Here is a 21,267-nt window from a genome sequence, read left to right as displayed (position 1 = left end):
TTCATAGCATTGGTCTCGGCAGTGATTTTTTTTGGTAAGACCTCAAAAGCACAGGCAACAAAAGCAAAACCAGACAAATGGGATTATATCAAACTAAATTCTGCATAGTGAAGAAAAAAATCAAGAGTGAAGAGACAACCTACAGAATTCAAGAAAATATTTTCAAGCTATGCATCTGACAAAAGGTTAATATACAGCATATATAAGGAACTAAACTCAATAGCAAACAAACAAAAACCCCAAAAAAGGATTCTGGTTTAAAAATGGGTAAAAACCTGAATGGACATTTCTCAGAAGATATCTATTGAACATACAATGACCAACAGATACATGAAAAAAGGCTCAACAGCTCTTAAAAAATTAAAAATAGAACTACCATATATGATCCAGCAATCCCACTATGGGTATATATCCAAAGGAAATAAAATCAGTACATTGAAGAAATATCTGTACTCACATGTTTATTGCAGCATTATCCACAACAGCCAAGATTTGGAATCAACCTAAATAAAATCAACCTATTTATTATCAACAAAAATTGATGGATGAATGGATAATGAAAGTGTGATGCATATACATAATGGAATATTATTCAGCTATAAAAAGTAATGAAATCCTGTCATTTGTGGCAACATAGAAGAACCTAGAGGACATTATCTTAAGTGAAATAAGTCAGGCACAGAAAAGACAAAATACTGCATGATCTCACTCATATGTGGAACCTAAAGAAGTTGATCTCCTAGAAGTAGAGAGCAGAATGGTGCTCACTAGAGGTGGGGAGGCTATGGGGCAGGGAGAAATAGGGAGAGATAAGTCTATGGGTATAACCTCTGGTGTTCTAATGCATAGTAGGGTAACTATAGTTAATAATATCGCATTGTATATTTCAAAATAGGTAGAAGAGGAGACTTTGAATGTTCTCACCACAAAGAAATGATAAAGTTATGAAGTAATGGGTATGCTATATACCCTGATTTGATTATTACATAATGTGTACATGTATCAAAACATCATAATGTACCCCATGAATATGGACAATTATGTTTCAATTTAAAAAATTAAAAATACGTGAGTTGTGTACTGTTTTATTACAGTGAATTTGGCTGTTTAACATATATTTTGAGAGAAAGCCATGAATACAAATCTGCCTTTATGGATTTTATGTGTGAGACAAGCCTAAAAAAAGTGATTCAAAAAGGCTAAAAATAAATAAATGGGCAAAAATGTACAAGGCAAATGCAAATAATAAGAAAGCAGGGTGTGTGGTCCTGATAGCAAACAATACAGAATTCAGGCCCCAAGGCATTAAATGAGACAAATAAGAACTTTGTGTAATGCTAAAAACTAAATTTACCATGAATAGTTTTAAATATCTATGTACCAAATAACATGGCCACCAACATTATAAATCAGAAAATACAGGAAATATAGCCAACAATATACTGAAAACAGGTGACTCATACCTCTAGTTTCTGACAGATCCCCCAAATTCAAGACAGATCAAGTTGGGGAAAAATAAATCAAGATGAATCAAACTGTAAGGCTGGTTTTATCTTATATTCAAACTTTTCACCATGACACTAGTGATAATATTTTTTCTCCTCATACATGTAGAATCTTCACAAAAGTTTGCCATATGGTAGTTCGGCAACACCACGATAATTTCAAAAAAATGCAAGCTTTTTCTTCTACCAGAATTTTAAAAAATCTCTTTAAAAATAATTTATTTGTTGAATAACTCAAAGGCCCAAGGGAAAATACAAACCAAAATTACAAAATTTCAATAATTAATTATCAATAATCAATAATGATAATGAAAACACGATGCATTAGAACCTGTGGGCTATAATTAAAGCAGTAATCAAAGGAAAATGTATAACCTTAAAAATTCTTATCAATAAAAATTAAAAGTTGAAAATAAATAAACTTAATATTCAACTCAAAAAGCTAGAAGAACATAAGAAAAAACTACTAGAAAATAGAAGAAAGAAAATCATGAAGATAAAACCAAAAATAGTAGTTAGAAAAGAGAAAAAAATAGAACTCATGAATAAATTAAATTTTTATTGTTTGAAAGAGAATGAAATAAGAAATGGTAAAGTAGAAATAATCACTGAAATGGAGGAAATATAATAATGATAAGAAATTACTTTACAAATTACATAGCTGGAATAGATAACTTCCTAGGAAAATATAATTTAACTATATTTACTCAAAGGGTGATAGAAAACTTTAATAGAGCAATTTCCATAAAAGAAACAGAGAAAGCAATCAAATAATTATCCCACAAAAAAACAACAGGCCCAGATATTTTCACAGGAAAATTTTACCAAACCTCCAAATACCAATCTCAGTGCTGCTTACACTCTTTTGGAGCACTGAAAAATATATTCACATTCCTTATGAAGTATTCCATTGATTTCTAAACCTGATAGATATCAAACCAAAAAAATGGAAAGCAGAGATCAATCTCACTTTTAAGTCTCAATACGAAAAAAAAAACCAAGTAAAATATAAGCAAATAGTATCCAATAGCGTATCTAAAAATGCATCATAACTAAGCAACATGTAAATAGGAATGGAAGGATATAATTCAATATTTGAAATATCATTAACATGATATTCCGTACTAATATATCCATGGAAAAAACAACTCATCATTTTCATAAATTCTGAAAAAGACTTCAGCAAAATTCAATATCATTTCTGATTAAGAGAAAGACAGAGAAGGATGAGGGAGGGAGAGGTGAGAGAGATAGCAAGACAAAGTATGACAAAGTTAATTGTTGAATCTAAATGAAGGATAGGAGTACTCATCGCAACTTTTCTTTTTTGGAATTTTCTGTTTCCTGTTTTGCTTTTCTGATTGTAAATTTTTTAAATGTTCACAAAATTTGGAGAAAATGTATACATTCACTTTTATTCTTAAATATTTACCTCTTTGTTCACTTGTTGCATGAGGTTTAATCAAGCCTAAAGTGCTTTGAAGAGGAAAGAAATGCTGTATTTCCCTTTCAGCGGTTTCTAATGAATCGCTGCCATACAACTGGTTGACCGGCAAACTGTCCATCGCAAACTGTGCACATAAACTTTGAAAAAGAAGTCAGGTTTAAAAGCTATTAGAACAGAACAGAATAATATAACACAATTTCTATAAGTTGTTCAAAAGTTATCAAATAACAGCAAATAATTCCAGATCTTGACACTGTGCAAAAGGAAGTAAGTACATGGCGGCTTAGGGCATGCTACTTCTTTTCAAGGATAACGGTCATTAGGAAGAAAGGATGTGATCATTTAAATCATCAAGGCGATGAATATTAACAGATAACTATGAAAGAGGAATGAATGCTGATATGGTTTGGCTTTGTTCCCACCCAATTCTCATGTTGAATTGTAATCCCCAAAATCCCCACAAATCATGGGCAGGACCTAGTGGGAGCTAACTGAATCATGGGGGCAGTTTCTCCCATGCTGTTCTTGTGCTAGTGAGTGAGTTCTCAGAAGATCTGATGGTTTTACAAGCACCTGGTATTACAAGCCCTGCTGGCACTCATTCTCTCTCCTGCCACCCTGTGAAGAGGTACCTTCTGCCATGATTATAAGTTTCCTGAGGCTTCCCCAGCCATGCGGAACTGTGAGCCAATTAAACCTCTTTTCTTTATAAATTACCCAGTCTCGGATATTTCTTCATAGCAGCATGAGAACAGACTGATATAGATGCCCTGTGCAGTGAAAAAGCTCAGAGGGTAGAATCCTTGTTGCACTACTTGCTAGCTGTGTGATATTAGGGAGCTGCTTAACTTCTTTGTGCTTTAGTTGTCTCAAATATAAATACAACAATAAAACCTGTTTCAGAAGGTGATTTTGCAGATGCAATCAGATGATGCCTTTGAAATATATGGTGTGTGTATTGAACTCTAAATAAATTTTCTTCTGTGGCTTTCACCATGTGATAATGCTTCACATTATCAAGCATTACATGGCATTTGACTCTAGACCAAAGATATAAAATTATAAACATTAAATCCAGAAGATACTGAAGGGAAACCTCCAGGTGAGCAACAACAGCAATAAAAGAGAAGTAGACAGGACAGCTTTGTGGGAAGAGGCAGGAGTGATGCTGATAATACCAGACCATCCACATTAGACAGTTTATTGTTATGCTTTCTTTCCTATAAATAAGCATGCATCTCTTGAATCAGTTGTTGCTCTTTGGTATTTTTTCAGTTGTCCTTTTTATCTGTTTTTCTATCTATCTATGCATATTTCAGTAGCAAATAATGCTCACTGCTCATTTCACTTTTTTCCCTTTAAACAGTCCAGGGCAATCAACCCAACAAATTCCAGCTGTGGTGAATAATGTTCCTTCCTGCTAACACTGATGTGGATTCTCCACATCACTGGAAACTTGGTTTTCTGTCCCCAGCTTCCAGATCCTCTTCTTTTCTCTCTAGTCTCAATGACTCATTCAGGGTTTTGTTTGTTTGTTTTTGTTTTTTTTTTGCCTTATCACCTTGACCTTTCCATTCTGCCCTTGGCTGTTCCCACACCTCTAATTTGGAGATACCTTCAGCCCTAGTCCCTTGGACTCTGTGATTGCCAGGGGTTAGGGATTTGGACAATGATTGAATGAAACAGCCTGAGTCATCCTGAGCACTTACTCTACTCAATGCAGAGCATTCTCCCAACCCCTGTTATGCTGTTAAACATGATTATTGGAAAATGTCCGGGGAGGAATTGTGGGATAGAGGGAGTAACAGGTAACAACGAGGGGTTGCTGTGCTTCTCTTCTATGCAAATTATCATATTTTGGGTAAAACAATGCCAGCATAGAATCTGATATTCAGGCACAGGAAAGGGGTGAAGTTCCATTTGAAGAGTTATTCCTAAAGCAACCGTAAGTGGTGGGTGGAGCCAAGGAAAGTGGAAAAGTGGGGATCAATTAGAAATAAAGATTAAGATTAATTGTGAACATGGGGCAATTTTCAGTATGATAGTGGGGTGGAGATGGGGCAGTAACTGAGAGCCTCCACACTTGGTGCCACAGTGTCTAGACCAGTGTGCCTACTGGCACAGGCCTTGTGTTGATAGCAATCCCTCTCTCTGGTAGCATGCATTGCACTCTATGCCACATTTTATTAAATGATTCCATGGCACTCTGCTCACACCACTTGCAGAGGTTCTATGCTTATTATCCTTCACAGTCATTGGCACATAAGCAAAGACATAATTGAGTAGGGCTAACTAAGGGGCAATACATGTTAATGCAACACAAGTCAGATTTAAGTGTATCCCACCCAAAAGAAAGCACTTCAGCTTTCATGTAAGTGAGGCTTCATAACTATTGTTATTTATTGTGTCAACATGTATGTCATGTTTGCAGTACCTTAAAGAGCATCTATATTCTTGCACACCTGAAGGGAGTATGAGGGGTGTCCTTTCTTCCTTTGAATTGAATCCTACCCTAAAATCAGCAAGAAGAATTCAAGGGAATTGAAATTCAATTTGTTTCCATCAGCTTCATGCCAAATATGGAGATGCGTGAGATACTATTTCTATCCTGCAGATGATACTAAGCCTAGCAGGTAAGCTCAGAAAATATTGAAAGAGTTCCCCCTATGTGCCAGGTAATATGCCAGGGGTCAAGTTGATTACAAAGTTTAGCTGACTTCTAAGATTAATCAGTAAGCTAAGTCAATAAATGTTCCCCCTGAATTGTAGAGTACATATTCAATTAGTCATCATTGTCTTAAAACTCATGATCAGTTAAAGAAGCTACAGCTGCCACCATAACCTTCTCAAAGGAATTTCTCCTAAATAGCGGGTAGGGTGGATATTTCTCCCAAGAGATGACCTGTTGACTGAAATATACACCTCTTAGCTCCCAGCCCCAAGCCTAGCACCTCACAGTGGTTTCTTGAAAATCTTTGGCCATCCTCAGGCTGTCACTGGGTTGGACCTCCAGTCATAAGCAGTCCACTCCGTCCCCAGGAAAGGTAGCTTTCCTGAGAAGCTCCCTTGGACTAGAGCTGTGGTTCCAATACTCTACATCTAAAAAGGTGTTTAAAATGGAGCCCACGAAAACAGATAGTGACCCATGGTATGAATCCTACCTCTCTGGAAAATATTCAATGGCTTCTTCAACAGTTCTTGGTCCCAGTAATTGTTTCCAGTATTGCAAGCCATTGTCTCTCAATAAAACAAGGGCTAGAGATGGACCACTATTAGAAAAGAAAACAAAGAAGAGGTAATAAGAAGTGTAGCTCAGTAGCTAATTATGTATAGGCAATACAAATGCATATTGTTAAATAGATCAAAAACATGTAACATGTAAAATAATCTTTTAACAGAGGTCTGTGATTTTTTTCCGTTGATATGTTTTCAAGAGCATATCTATAAAAGAATAGAAGCAGGGAAAGGAAGGGAAGGGGAGTGCCATGATTCTTGTAGATGTTTCTTTCATTGTTCCCATGGTCCTGCTGGTTTATATGCCCTTGCAGGATTTCAGCCTCAATTGCTATTTCAGTCATTCTTCTAGAAAGAAACCCAGCACATTTCTAGCAACTCATTCTTTCCTAGAACTAGTTAACTATAAGATTACAAAAGCTCTTGAGAGTCAGTCAGTTCTCTGCTTAAACTTCATAGTATTGTACACCCTGGACTTCTGGTGTTCAACTCAATGGGACTCCAGTAACTTCCTCTGAGACCTTCCTACTATTCCAGTAACATTCCAGGAAGACTAGAGAAGACAGGCAGGTGAGCAGAGGATTGGGATGGGAGCAGGACTGGTAGAGAAGTAAACTCAGAACATGTTTACAGACTTGAGGAGTTTGGCAGCTTAAATAGAAACCAGACTTAAGAGAAAGTTTACATGATTCAAAAATAAATCAGACTGAATTTTCTCAACCTGGATTCTACCTGGTCATGTTTTCTATAAGTTTATTAAAATAGTCTTCATTTTCATATTCCTTGCACAGTGCTTGTGCTTCTTTTTCCGATAATACTACTTGTCTTTGCTCCAGTATTTTGAAGTCTTCATCTTTAATAATACGCAAAACATCATCTAAATAAAAACAGTTACATAATAAGTTTTAAACTGGTAGATTACTGGTTATGTACACAATACATAATATACTATCATGAGGGCATACAATGCACTTTATTCTCATACGAAATTTTGAAAGTTTGCAGAAATACCTTCTTAGGTTTTAATTTAAGGTGAATAGTATCTCTTAACATCTCATTATGATGCTATTTCCAATTTTTCATCGTATAGGAATCATGCATGCACACACATACACATATACAACACACACACACAGGTATCTCATTAAATCTTTTTCTTGGGTGTATGCATGTGAATGTGAGTGATTGTGTGGGTGTGTGTGTGTGTGTGTGTGTGTAGACAGTAACCTAAATAATCAACCAACACAATTATGGAAGTCATTGCAAATAATTTTTATGTTCAATAACCATGATTTGATTTGTCCCATTTGGGGATAAACAAGGTGATTGAATACCTGAAGGTATTTCTCAACCTTCTTCTCTCTTGCCTACTTCCCACTACAGAAGCCTAGAAAATCCAATACTCACACCTCCATCCTTCCTTACAGAAAGTGTGGCAGTGTGATCCAGCTATGGTCAATGATATTTATAGGAAATACACTGGGGACTCTTCTGAGAGAGGCACTCGGGGAGAACCTCTGTCCTACACCATCTTCTGCTTCCTGCTTTTGAATGTTTGAGGGACATGATCTTTGGAGCTGTGCAGGTCATCTTGTGACAAAGAAGGATAAGTCAAAAGCACAAATATTGACTAAGATCTTGAACAGCCTTAAGCTCCTTATCGAGGCCAAAAAACAGGAAATAGAGTGAATAAAGTAGAACTAAGCAAACAATTGTAAGGAAAGAATAAAACAAAGTATCATGCATGTTAATACAGTTTAAGAAATAATTTGCTTCAGAACTACCTCACAGAAAAGAAAGGAAAACACAGGATATATAGCTCTTGAAAGTTGAAAAAGTGGAATCATATAAATTCTTAGAAGACACTGAAGTTTTTTTTAAATTACTAATTTTGTAAAAAGATTTCTCAAATGAGGGTACCTGATGACCACAGTTTAAAAAGTGACAACCAATCCCCAAGCAATTGCCATATAATGTTAACAGCTTCTTGAAATGACTCACGATAAAAGCTCAGGAAAAATATTCAGGGAAGGTAAATCTGCATAAAGCTAAAGAAAGTAGATTTAATGGGAGAGTAGGTCGATTGTCAATCCTTGAGAATCCTGGAGATTGCCTTCCCTAATTTGCACTCTCTCATTAGGTGATCACAAAGGAATTATAAACCAGGTGTAGAGAGGGTCCTCACCGTCCAACGGATAAATTGAAAAAATATTGGTGAGTATGCCTTATTTGCAAGACGGCATTGAGTTTCTTTGCTTCACTCTAAATTCCATGATGAATATAATAATAAATATTTTATTTTGCTTGCACTATGTCCATGAGAATTTTCAAACATCCTTTCAAGCATTCCAGTGACACTATCTGATGCCATATTTGGTGACAGGTATGAAGACACACAGAATTCCTGGTTCTAGATAAAGGTGTCTAGCAATTGCATAGAAGTTTCATGGAATAACCTGATGCATAAAAAAATCATACTTCAAAGCCCCGAACACCTTGTTGACCTTTCTTTCTTTCTTTCTCTTTCTTTCTTTCTCTTTCTTTCTTTCTTTCTTTCTTTCTTTCTCTCTCTCTCTCTCTCTTTCTTTCTTTCTTTCTTTCTTTCTTTCTTTCTTTCTTTCTTTCTTTCTTTCCCTTCCTCCCTCTCTCCCTCCTTCCTTCCTTCCTTTATTTCTTTTCTTTTTTTCTTTTTTTTGACAGGGTCTCACTCTGTCGCCCAGGCTGGGGTGCAGTAGCACCATCTCAGCTCACTGCAACCTCCACCTTCCAGGTTCAAGTGATTCTCCTGCCTCAGCCTCCCCAGCAGCTGGGACCACAGGCATGGGCCACCACGCCCGGCTACGTTTTCTATTTTTAGTAGAGATGAGGTTTCACCACGTTGTGCAAGCTGGTCTTGATCTCCTGGGCTCAAGCAATGCGGCTGCCTGGCCTCCCAAGGTGCTGGTACTACAGGCATGAACCACAGCACCTGGCCCACACCTTGATACCTTACTTCTCATCAATCACAGGCAAATTTCTAAGTAAGGTGCTTAATAGTTAAATAAATGTGTAAAGATCAGTTCATTCTTAGATATCTATACAATCTTGAAAAACAATTGAGCAAAAATAAAGGGAAAATATTTTGCAAGTATCTAAATAAATCAAGCCACAACCACCAACAACAAAAACTGAATTATCTACAAAGGAACAAAAACCAAGCTGACAGCAGACTTTTTCTCTGCAATACAACTTTGTGCTCACAAATTTGATAATTCAGATAAATTGACCCATTCCTTGAAATACACTGAATATTAAATACCAAAACTCACACAATGAGAGCTAGGTAATATGATTAGCCCTATATCTATTAGATAAATTGAATTAATTCTTAATAACATTCTGAAAAATACAGCACCAGGACTAGATTATTTTGCTAGTGAATTCTACAAAACGTTTAAGGAATAAATGACACCAATTCTCTGGAAACAATTTATTTTTTTCAGCAAATAGAAGCAGAGGGAACACTTTCTAACTCATTCCATGAGGCCAGACTTACCATAATATTCAAAAAGATATTACAAGGAAAGAAAACTAAAGACCAATAGCTCTCATGAACATAGGAGCAGAAATTCTTAACAAAATATTAACCATTCAAATTTAACAATGTATAAAAAAATTACAAACCATGACCAAGCTGGATTTATTCCAAGTATGCCAGGGTGGATCAACATTTGAAAGTCAATTAACATAATCGCCACTAATAGGATAAAGAAGAAAAGTCATATGATTATGTTAGTAGATGCAGAAAAATCATATGACAAATTTAATACCAATTCATGATAAAAATTATTACCAGAGGAGGAATAAAGGGAAACTTTCTCAACTTACTAGAGAACATCTTCAAAAATCCTACAGTTAACACTGTCCTTAATGGAAAGAAACTAGATGCTTTGCCTCTAAGATCGGAAAAAAAAGCAAAGCTACTCCCTCTCACTACTCCTCTTCAAATTCATACTGGAAATCTTAGCTAAAGAAATAACACAAGAAAAGGAAATAAAAGGTATACTGATTCAGAATGAGGAAATGAAACTATTGTTGTTCTTCACAGAGGGCATGACTGTCTATGTAGAAAATCCCAAAGAATCATCATCATCATTGTCAATAACAACAACACAAAACTTCGGGCACTGATAAGAGACTATTATAGCAAAGGTTCAGGTTATAATTAATATACAAAAGTCAATTTTTTTCTATATACCAGAAATGAGCAATTGGAATTTGAAATTTAAAGCAAAACAATTTATACTAGCACTAAAAAAGAAAATACATGGGCAAAAATCTATCAAAATATGTAAAGAATCTAAATGAAGAAAACTACAAAACTCTGGCGAAAAAAAATCAAAGATCTAAATAAATGGAGAGATATTCCATATTCATAGATAACAAGACTTAATATGAAGATGTCAGTTTTTCCCAACTTGGTCTGTAGATTAAACACAATCCCAACCAAAAGCCCAGCAAGTTATTTTGTGGATATGGAAATTGACAAACTGATCTCAAGTTTATATGAAAAGGCCAAAGATGTAACACAGTATTGAAGGAGAAGAACAAAGTTAGAGAAGTGATACTACCAGACCTAGCCACATTGATTAATGGAACAGAGCAGAGAGCCCAGAAAAAGACCCACACAAACATAGTCAATTGGTTTGTGATAAAGTTGCAAAGGCAATACAATGGAGGAAGGACAGTCTTGTCAACAAATGGTGCTGAAATAATTAGAAATACCCTCTCAAAACAGTAAGTCTAGACACAGACCTTATACTATTCATAAAAATAACTCAAAATGGATGATAGACCTATATGTAAAACACAAAACTATAAACTTTCTAGAGAATAACACAGAAGAAAATCTAGGTGACCTTGTGGTTAGCAATGAGTTTTTAGATACAACACTAAAACCGCAATCCAAAAAGAAATAACTAATAAGCTGGACTAAATTAAAAATAAAGACTTTTCTGTGAAAGCCACTTTTAAGAAACCAAGAACCAAAAACTTGGAGAAAATATTTGCAAACCACATACATGATAAAAGACTTGTATTCAAAATAAACAAACAAAAAAAACCTTTCTACTCAACAATGAGGAAAATGAACAACTCAATTAAGAAATGGGCAAAAAGTATAAAGAGACAACACATCATCAAAGAAGATACAGAGATGATTAGTAAGCATATGAAAAGAAGCTCTGCATAATATGTCATTAGGGAATTGTAAACAAGGACAACACTAAGGTAATATTATTTACCTATTAATGTAACTAAACTCCCAAAAACTGACAATACCAAATCCTGGCAAGGTTGTAGAGCAACAGGAACTCTGATTCATTTCTAACAAAAATGGAAAGTGGTACAGGTGCTTTGGAAGACATTTTGGCACTTTCTTACAAACTATACATACTTTTACAGCATGATCCTGTACTCATGCTCCTAGATATTTACCCAATTAAAATGAAAACTGACATCCACACAAAAACCTGCATATGAACACCTACAGCAATTTTCTTCATAATGGCTGAAAACTGGAAGCAACCAAGATGCCCTTCTATAGGTAACTACACAAATAAACTTAGTTGCATACATACAATGGAATATTATTCAGTGATAAAAAGAAATGAACAATCAAGTCACCAGAAGACATGGAGGAACACAAAATGCACATTGCTAAATGAAAGAAGTCAATCTGAAAAGGCTATCTACTGGCCGGGTGTGGTGGCTCACACCTGTAAATCCAGCACTTTGGGAGGCGAGGCAGGTGGATCACTTGAGGTCAGGAGTTTTAGACTACCCTGGCCAACATGGGGAAACCCCCTCTCTACTAAAAATACAAAAATTAGCCGGGCATGGTGGCACACCTGTAATCACAGCTACTTGGGAGACTGAGGCAGGAGAATCTCTTGAACCTGGGAGGCGGAGGTTGCAGGGATCTGAGGTCACCCCATTGCACTCCAGCCTGGGTGACAGAGCAAGACTCCATCTCAAAAAATAAAAATAAATAAAAACAAATATATATATATATAATGAAAAGGCTATATACTGTATGATATCAACTCTAAGACATCCCATAACATATCAAATAACAAAAGGATCAGTGGTTGCCAGGGGTTAGGAGAGAGAAAGAGATTAGTAGGTAAAACACAGGGGATTGTTAGGGTGGCAATTCTATTCTGTATGATACTGTAATGGGAATACCTGACATTATGCATTTGTCACAATCCATAGGATGAACAAAATAAAGAGTGAAACTTAATGTAAACTATGGACTTTAGTTAATGATATTTTAACAATATTGGTTAATTAACTGTAAAAGTGTATCACAGTAATACATGATGTTGATAGGAGAAGGTGGGAGGGAGCAGGTATATGGGAACTCTGTAGTATTTTTCTTAATTTTTCTCGAAGTCTACAATGGTTTAATATTTTGGCTTGATTTTTCTGTAAATCTAAAACTGTTCTGTAAAGTCTATTTATTTAAAAATAACATGTATTTGAAAATATTGTCTTTTTTAAATATTAAAAGACATTGAAAATGGCAAAAAGACAAAAATAAAACAAAATCTTCCAAAAAAGAGAACCCCATGTCTAAATCATTTTACTCACAAATTCCAGTAAACATTTAAGATATAACTCAAATTCTACACTATCTCGTCCATAAAATAGGAGTGACTGCTTCTCATCTCACTTTATGAACCTGCATTACTCTGACACCAAAACCAGATAAAAACATTACAAGAAAAGAAATCAACACATATCCCTCCTGAATATAGACACAAAAATTCTCAACAAAATATTAGCAAATCAAAACCTGCAGTGTGTAAAAAGGATAATACATGACAGCCAAGTGGGATTTTTCTGGAGAATGCAAGGCTGTTTCAACATCAATAATCAAAATAATCCACCATGTTATCAAAATGAAGGAAAAAACATAATCACATCAATAGATACAAAAAAATTGAGAAAAACACAACATCCTTTCCTGATAAAAATTCTCTCCAAACTAGGAAGAGGTGGTAATTTTCTTAATCTGATAAAGGACATACACAGCTAACATACTTAGTGGTAAAAGACCAAATGCTTTTGCTATAAGATCAGGTACAAGGCAAAGATGTCTCCTCTCATCACTCCAATTCAGCGTCATACAGGATGTGCTAGCTAGCTCAATGAGGAAAGAAAAAGAAATAAAAGGCATACAGATGGAAATGAAGAGGAACAAGTATCTCACTTTGCAAACCCTATTACTGTGTATATCAATGATTCTCAGCCGGAGAGATTTTGCCCTACAAAGGGCATTTGGCAACCTCCAGAGACATTTTTGACGTTGTCACAATTTGAGAGGTGGGGCAGAGGGGAAGGGGGGTATGATACTGACTTTTAGTGAGTAGAGGCCAAGGATGCTGCTACACATTTTACAATGCACATAACACAGTCAATCCTCCACCCTGGACAAAGAATGATCTGGCCCAAAATGTAAGCCGGTCTGAGGTTGAGAAATCCTGGTCTACATAGAAATGCCAAGGAAACTACGTCAAAGCTCCTAGAAAGCTCCTAGGTAGTTGGACAAGTCAGAGAATAAAAGGCCAATATATAAATATTAATGGTAATTATGTTTCCATATATTAGATATAAAAAAAGAATGAATAGTGTTAATTTATGACTTGTGTTCTTGTTCTGCCATATTCACTCTGCTATAAGAATATGGGATGAGATTAAAAAGAACTAACTCTTTATGTGCCAGGTACTTTATTTGTGTTTTCTCATTTTAATGTTCTGAATTTTACACGTGAAGAAATAAACTTGGTAAAATATCTTGTTCAAGTCACACTATCAGTTATGGTAGATCCAAGCTTTGAATTGGGGCATTTCAGACATAGAAGCTTTAAATCTTTATTATGTAATAATTCCTGCAATGTTAAAATCTACTCTAACAAATTCACAGATTAGAAAATACCTTGTAAACTCTTCAGCTACAAATATGTTTTATTCACTATTAAGATATTAGTAAGTTAATACATTAATTTCTTAAGGTGCGTTTTCTTCAATGTTAAATTTTAAAACAATGTCTTTAAATGCAATTATACTAGGGTTTATTCAAATCTCATCTATATAAAATACTTAAACAATTTATGCTTGATTCCCTACCTTTCCTTTCATGAAAGAGATTTGGTCGAAGTAATGCCAATGTCTTTTCTAATTTCATGCTTTTCATTTTTTTAAAATCGGGGAAGAAAGCATCCATGAACTTAGCAACATTAGCTGCATCCTCTTCAATGTCACAGAGCTGAGCTAAATGTTGTCTTTCCAGATATTCTTGTAAACTGTCAAAATCCAAAATATAATTTAAGATTATTATAAACTGAGGTTTATAACCATGCCAACAAATTAAATCTGATATGTTCAGAAATTACTAGAAGTTTAATAAAACAAAAATTAAATGTCATGTAAAGATAAATTGCATCTCCCTATTATATCCAAGAATATGATACTTAATTCAACTTTTTATTGAGCCCACTACAAAAATTACTTACATGATATTATCTATGTTTGACTTTATGAGAGAATAAACAAAGATCAAAATAAAATTTTGTGTTTTTAAGGAAAAATTTTTCTTTTCCCTATGTAGAACTTTCCAGATAGTTTTTAATTTTCTTTTTAATCTTGTCTTTGAACTAAGGGTTATCTAAAAGTGCATTTCATATTTTCAAATGAACATTTCCAATTACCTTTTTATTGTTTATTTCCAATTTTATTGGATTATAATCAGAAAAATATATGTGGTAAAATTTTGATTAAAAATTTGTTGAGGTATTCTTTGTGTAAAAGAAAAAATTATTTGTAATGTGTAAGGTTGTATATATGTTTATGTTTCATATATTATAGATAATTTATTATCTATCTATCTATCTATCTATCTATCTATATATATATATATAGTGTTTTTTTGAGATGGAGTCTCGCTCTGTCACCAGACTGGAGTGCAGTGGTGCAATCTTGGCTCACTGCTACCTCTGCCTCCCAAGTTCAAGCTATTCCCCTGCCTCGCCTCCCGAGTAGCTGGGACTACAGGCGCACACCCCCAGCCCAGCTAATATTTTTTTTGTATTTTCGTAGAGATGGAGTTTCACCATGTTGCCCAGGATGGTCTCGATCTCCTGACCTTGTGATCAGCCCGTCTCGGCCTCCCAAAGTGCTGGGATTATAGGCGTGAGCCACCGCGCCCAGTCAATTTATTATATATTATTTATGGAATATGTATTTTTAATTCCTCTCATCCTTACTTATTCTTGTCTGCTAGCAGGTATTTTTTCCAGTTCTCCTTACTTTTCCAGTAATTCCCTCCTTAGGTACTTAGCCGTTATGTTGGTGGGGCCACAATTTTTTCTTTTTTTGGGTGCCGTATTGTCATAAATGTTGCCTTCTACATCGTGTCTTTATCAAATTTAGCAATTTTAATGATCAGTGTTAATACTTTATTTTTCCTGGCTATTTTTTGGCCATCCCTTTATTTTCATCTTTTTTTTTTCTAAACAGAATATAGATGAGAAAAGTTGTTTAAATTTTTTATTTTGAAAAAAATTAAATTAATAGAAAAGTTGCAAGACTAGGACAAAGAACTCCCATTTACACCCTTCATCTAGGTTCACCAACTGTTAACACTGTCCCATATTTGTTCTCTCTGTCTCCTGCTTTCATCCCCCAATGTGTGTGGGGGCTATGGGGGGCTGTGTGGGTGTGTGTGTGTGTGTGTCTTGGCAGATCCATTTGAGAGTAAGCTGCAGATATTTTAACCAATCACCTCTAAATACTTCAGGAAATATTACATTAATACAAAATTATTACCTCATAAACAGTCCGTATTCAATTTTCACCAATTTTCTAATACCATCTTATCTGTAGTAATTTTTATATTAATCCAGGATTATATATTGCATGTAGTTGTCCCATCTCCTTAATTTGCTTTTATCTCCAACAGCGACTCAACCTCTTTTGTCTTTCATGATATTGATATGTTGAATAGTCCAGGACAGTTGTTTGTAGACTTCCCTTCATTTTGGATGGTTTCAAACTATTGGATGGCCCAGTACTTTCCTATTACATTCTGGTTATGAACCTTTGGCAGGAAAACTATCTTCATGAGCCTGCGTCCTTCTTGGTCCGTTACTTGCTCCATCACATAGGAGGTGTATGATGTCAGTTTTTCCCATTATTGGTGATATTAATGTAGTTGATATCCCCCCATTTTATCTACTGAAAAGCTACAATTTTCCCCTTATAATTAATAAGTAATCTCTAAGGACATTATATGAAACTGTGTATATATTTTTCACACAATATTTTTAAACCCAATGATGATTCTTGTGCACATCATTAATATGATGGTTTTTAAATTAGGTTTTTTTAACCTTTACCTAGTAATGTCTATATGTGACGGGAAAATTAACCTTTTCATAGTTAGCCTAATAGCCATATTCTTGACTTTATTTTTTTCATCTTACTTTATCTAGACTATTTATTTTAAATTGAGGTTTCTTCTTTTTTCCCCTTATTTTGCTGGTCTGAGCAAACTGCTCTTCATTCCATGTTTTTCCCTTGTTAATGTGGAAGTTTTACTATACTTATCCACTGCATTAATGTTTACTGTCTTTTTCCTGCCCCTGTTGTCAGATGCGTATGTCCCAAATATTTCTTGCATTCTGACACACTATCTCCCAACTTTAATACTCCATTTATGCCCTTTCTGCAAATAAGAACCTCAAAATACAACTGTCAAAATACTGCCTTCTTGATCTTTGAACCATTTTGCCACATACACCCACAAACCTCTAGGTTTTGTTGAGATAATTTAGAATCTAGAAGAATTTTCTTCTATTTCTAGAGTCCTTCATCAGCTGTTATATTATAAAACCCAGAATTATGGACTGTATGTGTCTGTGTGTGTGTTCAGAGATTCCAAGGTTCACTGTTAAGAACTGTTTTTCTTTTTTTTCCTCCCATATTTTTGATTTGGTTGAGTATATCCTCACTTATTTTCCACAGAAGGAGTATATAGGTGATATATTGCTAAGTATGTCCTTGAAGATCTTCATTTGCTCTACCAGGTAAATATCTTAGCTTTGTAAGAATGCAGGGGTTGCAGCCTTTTTCTTCCAGTAGTCCTAAAATGAGCCCTATGGCAGTCAAGTATTTTTCCCTTGTAAGTAACTTATTCTCAATTGCTGCCAAGTATGCAGTTGGTGGAAGGGATCCACCTAAAGTGCAAGTGCAATTTTAAATCAGTAATAAAACCAATTAAAAGTCTGGTTGCTTTTTATCAGCGCCATGTACCAGCACTCCTAATCAACATTAGTGATAATGCGCCTATGTACTCTTGGAGTTCACACATATTCATTACTTATCCTTTCATAAGTAGTGTGCTGTACATGGTGCTCTACATAGAATCAATCCAAAAACAACAAAGCTATTGGCATTATTGCAATTTCTGCAATGTACTGTAAAATGGGAATTTCACCTATCTTTTTCTATTAAACATAGAGTGGAGATCAATTTTGAGAACATCATGGACAAATCTTCAAAAATTAAAGCTTTCAAAAAGCAAAAACTACTTCATTTTCTGTGACAGATTAATATATACAGACATACATGTGTTTTATTGTTAAAAATATTAATTAAACAATTCATCTATCACTTGTTTCCTTTGGGACACTGTAACATTTATTTTTATTTTATACTCATATGTTTATATATTCAAAGGTACATAAAGACTATTTTCTTTTCTTTTTTTTTTTTTTTGAGACAGAGTCTCACTCAGTCGCCCAGGCTGGAGTGCAGTGGCGCAATTTTGGCTCACTGCAATCTCCGCCTCCTGGGTTCAAGCAATTCTCCTGCCTCAGCCTCCCAAGTAGCTGGGACTATAGGCATGGGCCACCACGCCTGGCCAATTTTTGCATGTTTAGTAGAGACGGGGTTTCACCATGTTGGCCAGGCTGGTCTTGAGCTCCTGACTTCAAATGCTGGGATTACAGGCACAAGCCACGGCATCTGGCCCATAAAAGACTATTTTCATTGTCTGTATTTTTATTCTAGCATAATTGTTTGCCTCATTCAGTAACTAGTACTTAAAAATAATTTCATCATACAGAGGAAGAGGCTGTTAAGATGATCTGCTCTGGGTTTCAAACATATGAAGTATACAAGTGCTTACTCTGTCTGTCTGGACACAGTGTGCAGTGTTTCTTCCCAGGATGTTCCTGTATTTGTGTGTGGGGTGGGGGTGTGGTGGCATCAGTTGAGGGTGGACTATTGTAAGCCCTTGCAATTGGCAGACAAATGCATTTATTCTGGGAAAAAAATTCCCCCATTATTTGTTGAGTTAGTTTGTCCATCTGTTCTTTCTCTGTGCAGAGTTTCTCATTAGCAATTGATCCCCTCAGCATATTATCCAGATTGCAGACTTCTGCTCTCATCCTGTCTAATTTTTTGTGTGTACTTTCAGATATTTCTTGCATCTGACTTTCCATGTCATTAATTTGAGTCTCAAATGATGATCATACCAATTCTCCACTGAACTTATAATTCAAATCACAATTTGTATAATTCAAGTTTGAAAGGCTTTTTAAATGTATACCTAGCAATTGAATCTCAAGTCCTTTTTTTATTGTTATTTTATTTAAGGGTTTTTCTGTCTCTAAGCAGTTCTTTTTCACTAGACTTGTGTTGTGATTTTTGTACAGGCCTTCCTTTCTCTGGCTGCCAGTCTCCCTTAGGCAGGTACTCATTTTTCCTTGATGGCTCACTGGGGCTTAGGTCTGATTTTTGATATGTGTTGGAAACCCTGTAGTTGGAAGGCAAGATGACCTCTACAAGCTTGTGCTTTAGAAGACAGTGGGTCATTATTCTTCTGCAGGGGCAATCAGGAAAAGCCCCCAGAGACCTAGCTAGGGCAAGGAATTCAATAATTCTACTCAGTTCTATCCTGGCCCTTTAGGAGTCAGGAAGTCTCAGTGAAGTCCACAAGTCTGTTATTCTCAGGGTCTGTGGTTGTCTGCAGGTCCTTGTTTTCTGGGGAGTTCAGGAGCTCCCCAAACTCTCGGTGGAGAAAACACCACACCACCCTCATCTTCTCCTGCCCTAGGGACCTGAACAGAGCTCCAGACCTCACTGACAGCCAGCTGCTTATCAGTTAAGCTTCCCTTTGACTATGGAGAGGAAAGAAAGCTTTGCAGATGGGAGTAGAGTCAGGGTATAGCATTCAGACTTCCCTGATCCCGGAAATACTTTTAAGGATTATTTTAGGAATTGTATCTATTATGTTTAATTTAAATGAGAATATCATAAAGGAAAAAATTAAGCTCCCTATAGCTATGACATGTATAGGGACAAATAGAGAGGCTACTGAGAAGAGAATAGATATTTTCTATGGACAGAGGAATACAATATAGTAGAGGTGGTTGGAAATGTCACCTTCACTCTGTCATAAAGACTTAAACTGAAAGTGAGCTCAGAGGTCATCATCTAATTCTTCCCCATCTTTGTATCTCTAGGATTTGGCATATAGTAGGTCTTTAATAAATACTAGATGAATGAATCAACACATAACAGAATAAGTGAATGAATGAGAAGACTCTGCCAGTTACTACCTGTGTGACTCTGAGCAATGTAGCTAATGGAACCACACCTTCCTGATCTGTAGAAAGACTGGAAAGCAAAGATAAATTACACTATCCTTTGATTTCTTAAAACAGGCTGATTAAAGAGACAGACATGTAAATAATGTAATAAAAAGCCATCATGAAAGAAGCTGGAATGTGAATGACAAACATGGGTACCTCTGCCCTGTTTCCCTGGCTCTTCCCCCACCCTTCTGCAGCCACTGGAGCAGGCAGACCATCGATGGCATGGAGAGAGTTTCCCCACAGCATGTGAATTCATAAGCTGTGAGTGTTTGTCTCCACAGGAATAACCAGCCAATAAAGCTCTGGGACTCCGCTGCTCTGTACGCAGAGGGGTCACCAATCACTCCCAGTTCAATTGCTCTGCTTTTAACTTCTCTCCTGTCTCACCCTCTCCATCCCCACCACCCAGAGAGGAGAGTGAGCAGGCTGGGAGATAGGGGAGAGGGGGCAATAAAGAGTGAAAGTGAACAACTGAATAAATTACGCATGAGAGTTTTTTGTCCTTATTCCTTTAGATTCTGGACCTACTTGAAAGATGTCACATGGAAGTGACAGTGCCTATCAGGCCCTCCCTCCAGAGCAAGAGCTGTGAAAATAAGAACAAGCATTATAGAAGTCAGGGGAAAGCTTCCCCTCTGTCCTCTCAAGTTTTACTGAAAAACCAACGGGCATCAACAGACAAAAAGTATATTAGTTGGAGAAAAAGCAGACAAATTTGATTAACATGTACACAGAGAGAACCACAGAGTGAGTACCCACCCTGCAATGAGGTTCAGAAGCCTATAGACCAAGCTTGTCCAACCTGCAGCCCACTGGCTGCATGAGGCCCAGGAAGGCTTTGAATGTGGCCCAACACAAATTGGTAAACTTTTTTTTTTTTTTTTTTTTGAGATGGAGTCTCACTCTGTCACCCAGGCTGGAGTGCAGTGGCTCGATCTTGACTCACTGCAATCTCTACCTCCCAGGTTCAAGCGATTCTCCTGTCTCAGTCTCCCAAGTAGCTGGAACTACAGGCATGCACCACCACACCCAGCTAATTTTTGTGTTTTTAGTCGAGACTGGGTTTCACCATGTTGATCAGGCTGGTCTCGATCTCCTGACCTCATGATCTGCCTGTCTCGGCCCTCCAAAGTGCTGGGATTACAAGCATGAGCCACCGCACCCGGCTCAAATTGGTAAACTTTTAAAAACATTATGATATATATTTTTTGCGAGTTCTTTTTTTTTTTTTAAGTTCATCAGCTATCATTAGTGTTAGTGTATTTTATGTGTGGCCCAAGACAATTCTTCTTCTTCCAGTGTGCCCCAGGGAAGCCAAAAGATTGGACACCCCTGTTATAGACCATCTGGCAAAACAGGTAATGGGAGCAGGGAGAAG

At 36.1% G+C, this 21,267-nt stretch overlaps 1 protein-coding gene across 1 annotated transcript in view; it reads right to left on the bottom strand.

Moving 5' to 3' along the window:
* Positions 1-21,267, bottom strand: part of NME8 (NME/NM23 family member 8) — a 51,801-nt gene that overhangs the window by 9,032 nt on the left and 21,502 nt on the right. The window contains exons 12-15 of the mRNA NM_016616.5: positions 14,359-14,534; positions 6,919-7,063; positions 6,114-6,221; positions 2,938-3,089 (exon numbers count right to left, since the gene is read on the bottom strand). Of these exons, the coding sequence (NP_057700.3) occupies positions 2,938-3,089; positions 6,114-6,221; positions 6,919-7,063; positions 14,359-14,534 (581 nt within the window). The remainder of the gene's footprint in view (positions 1-2,937; positions 3,090-6,113; positions 6,222-6,918; positions 7,064-14,358; positions 14,535-21,267) is intronic.

The sequence above is a fragment of the Homo sapiens genome, chromosome 7 (genome assembly GCF_000001405.40).
Source record: "Homo sapiens chromosome 7, GRCh38.p14 Primary Assembly".
Taxonomy (NCBI): domain Eukaryota; kingdom Metazoa; phylum Chordata; class Mammalia; order Primates; family Hominidae; genus Homo; species Homo sapiens.
Note: the sequence above shows the minus strand (reverse complement) of the source record. Positions and strands in the feature narration are given on the sequence as shown.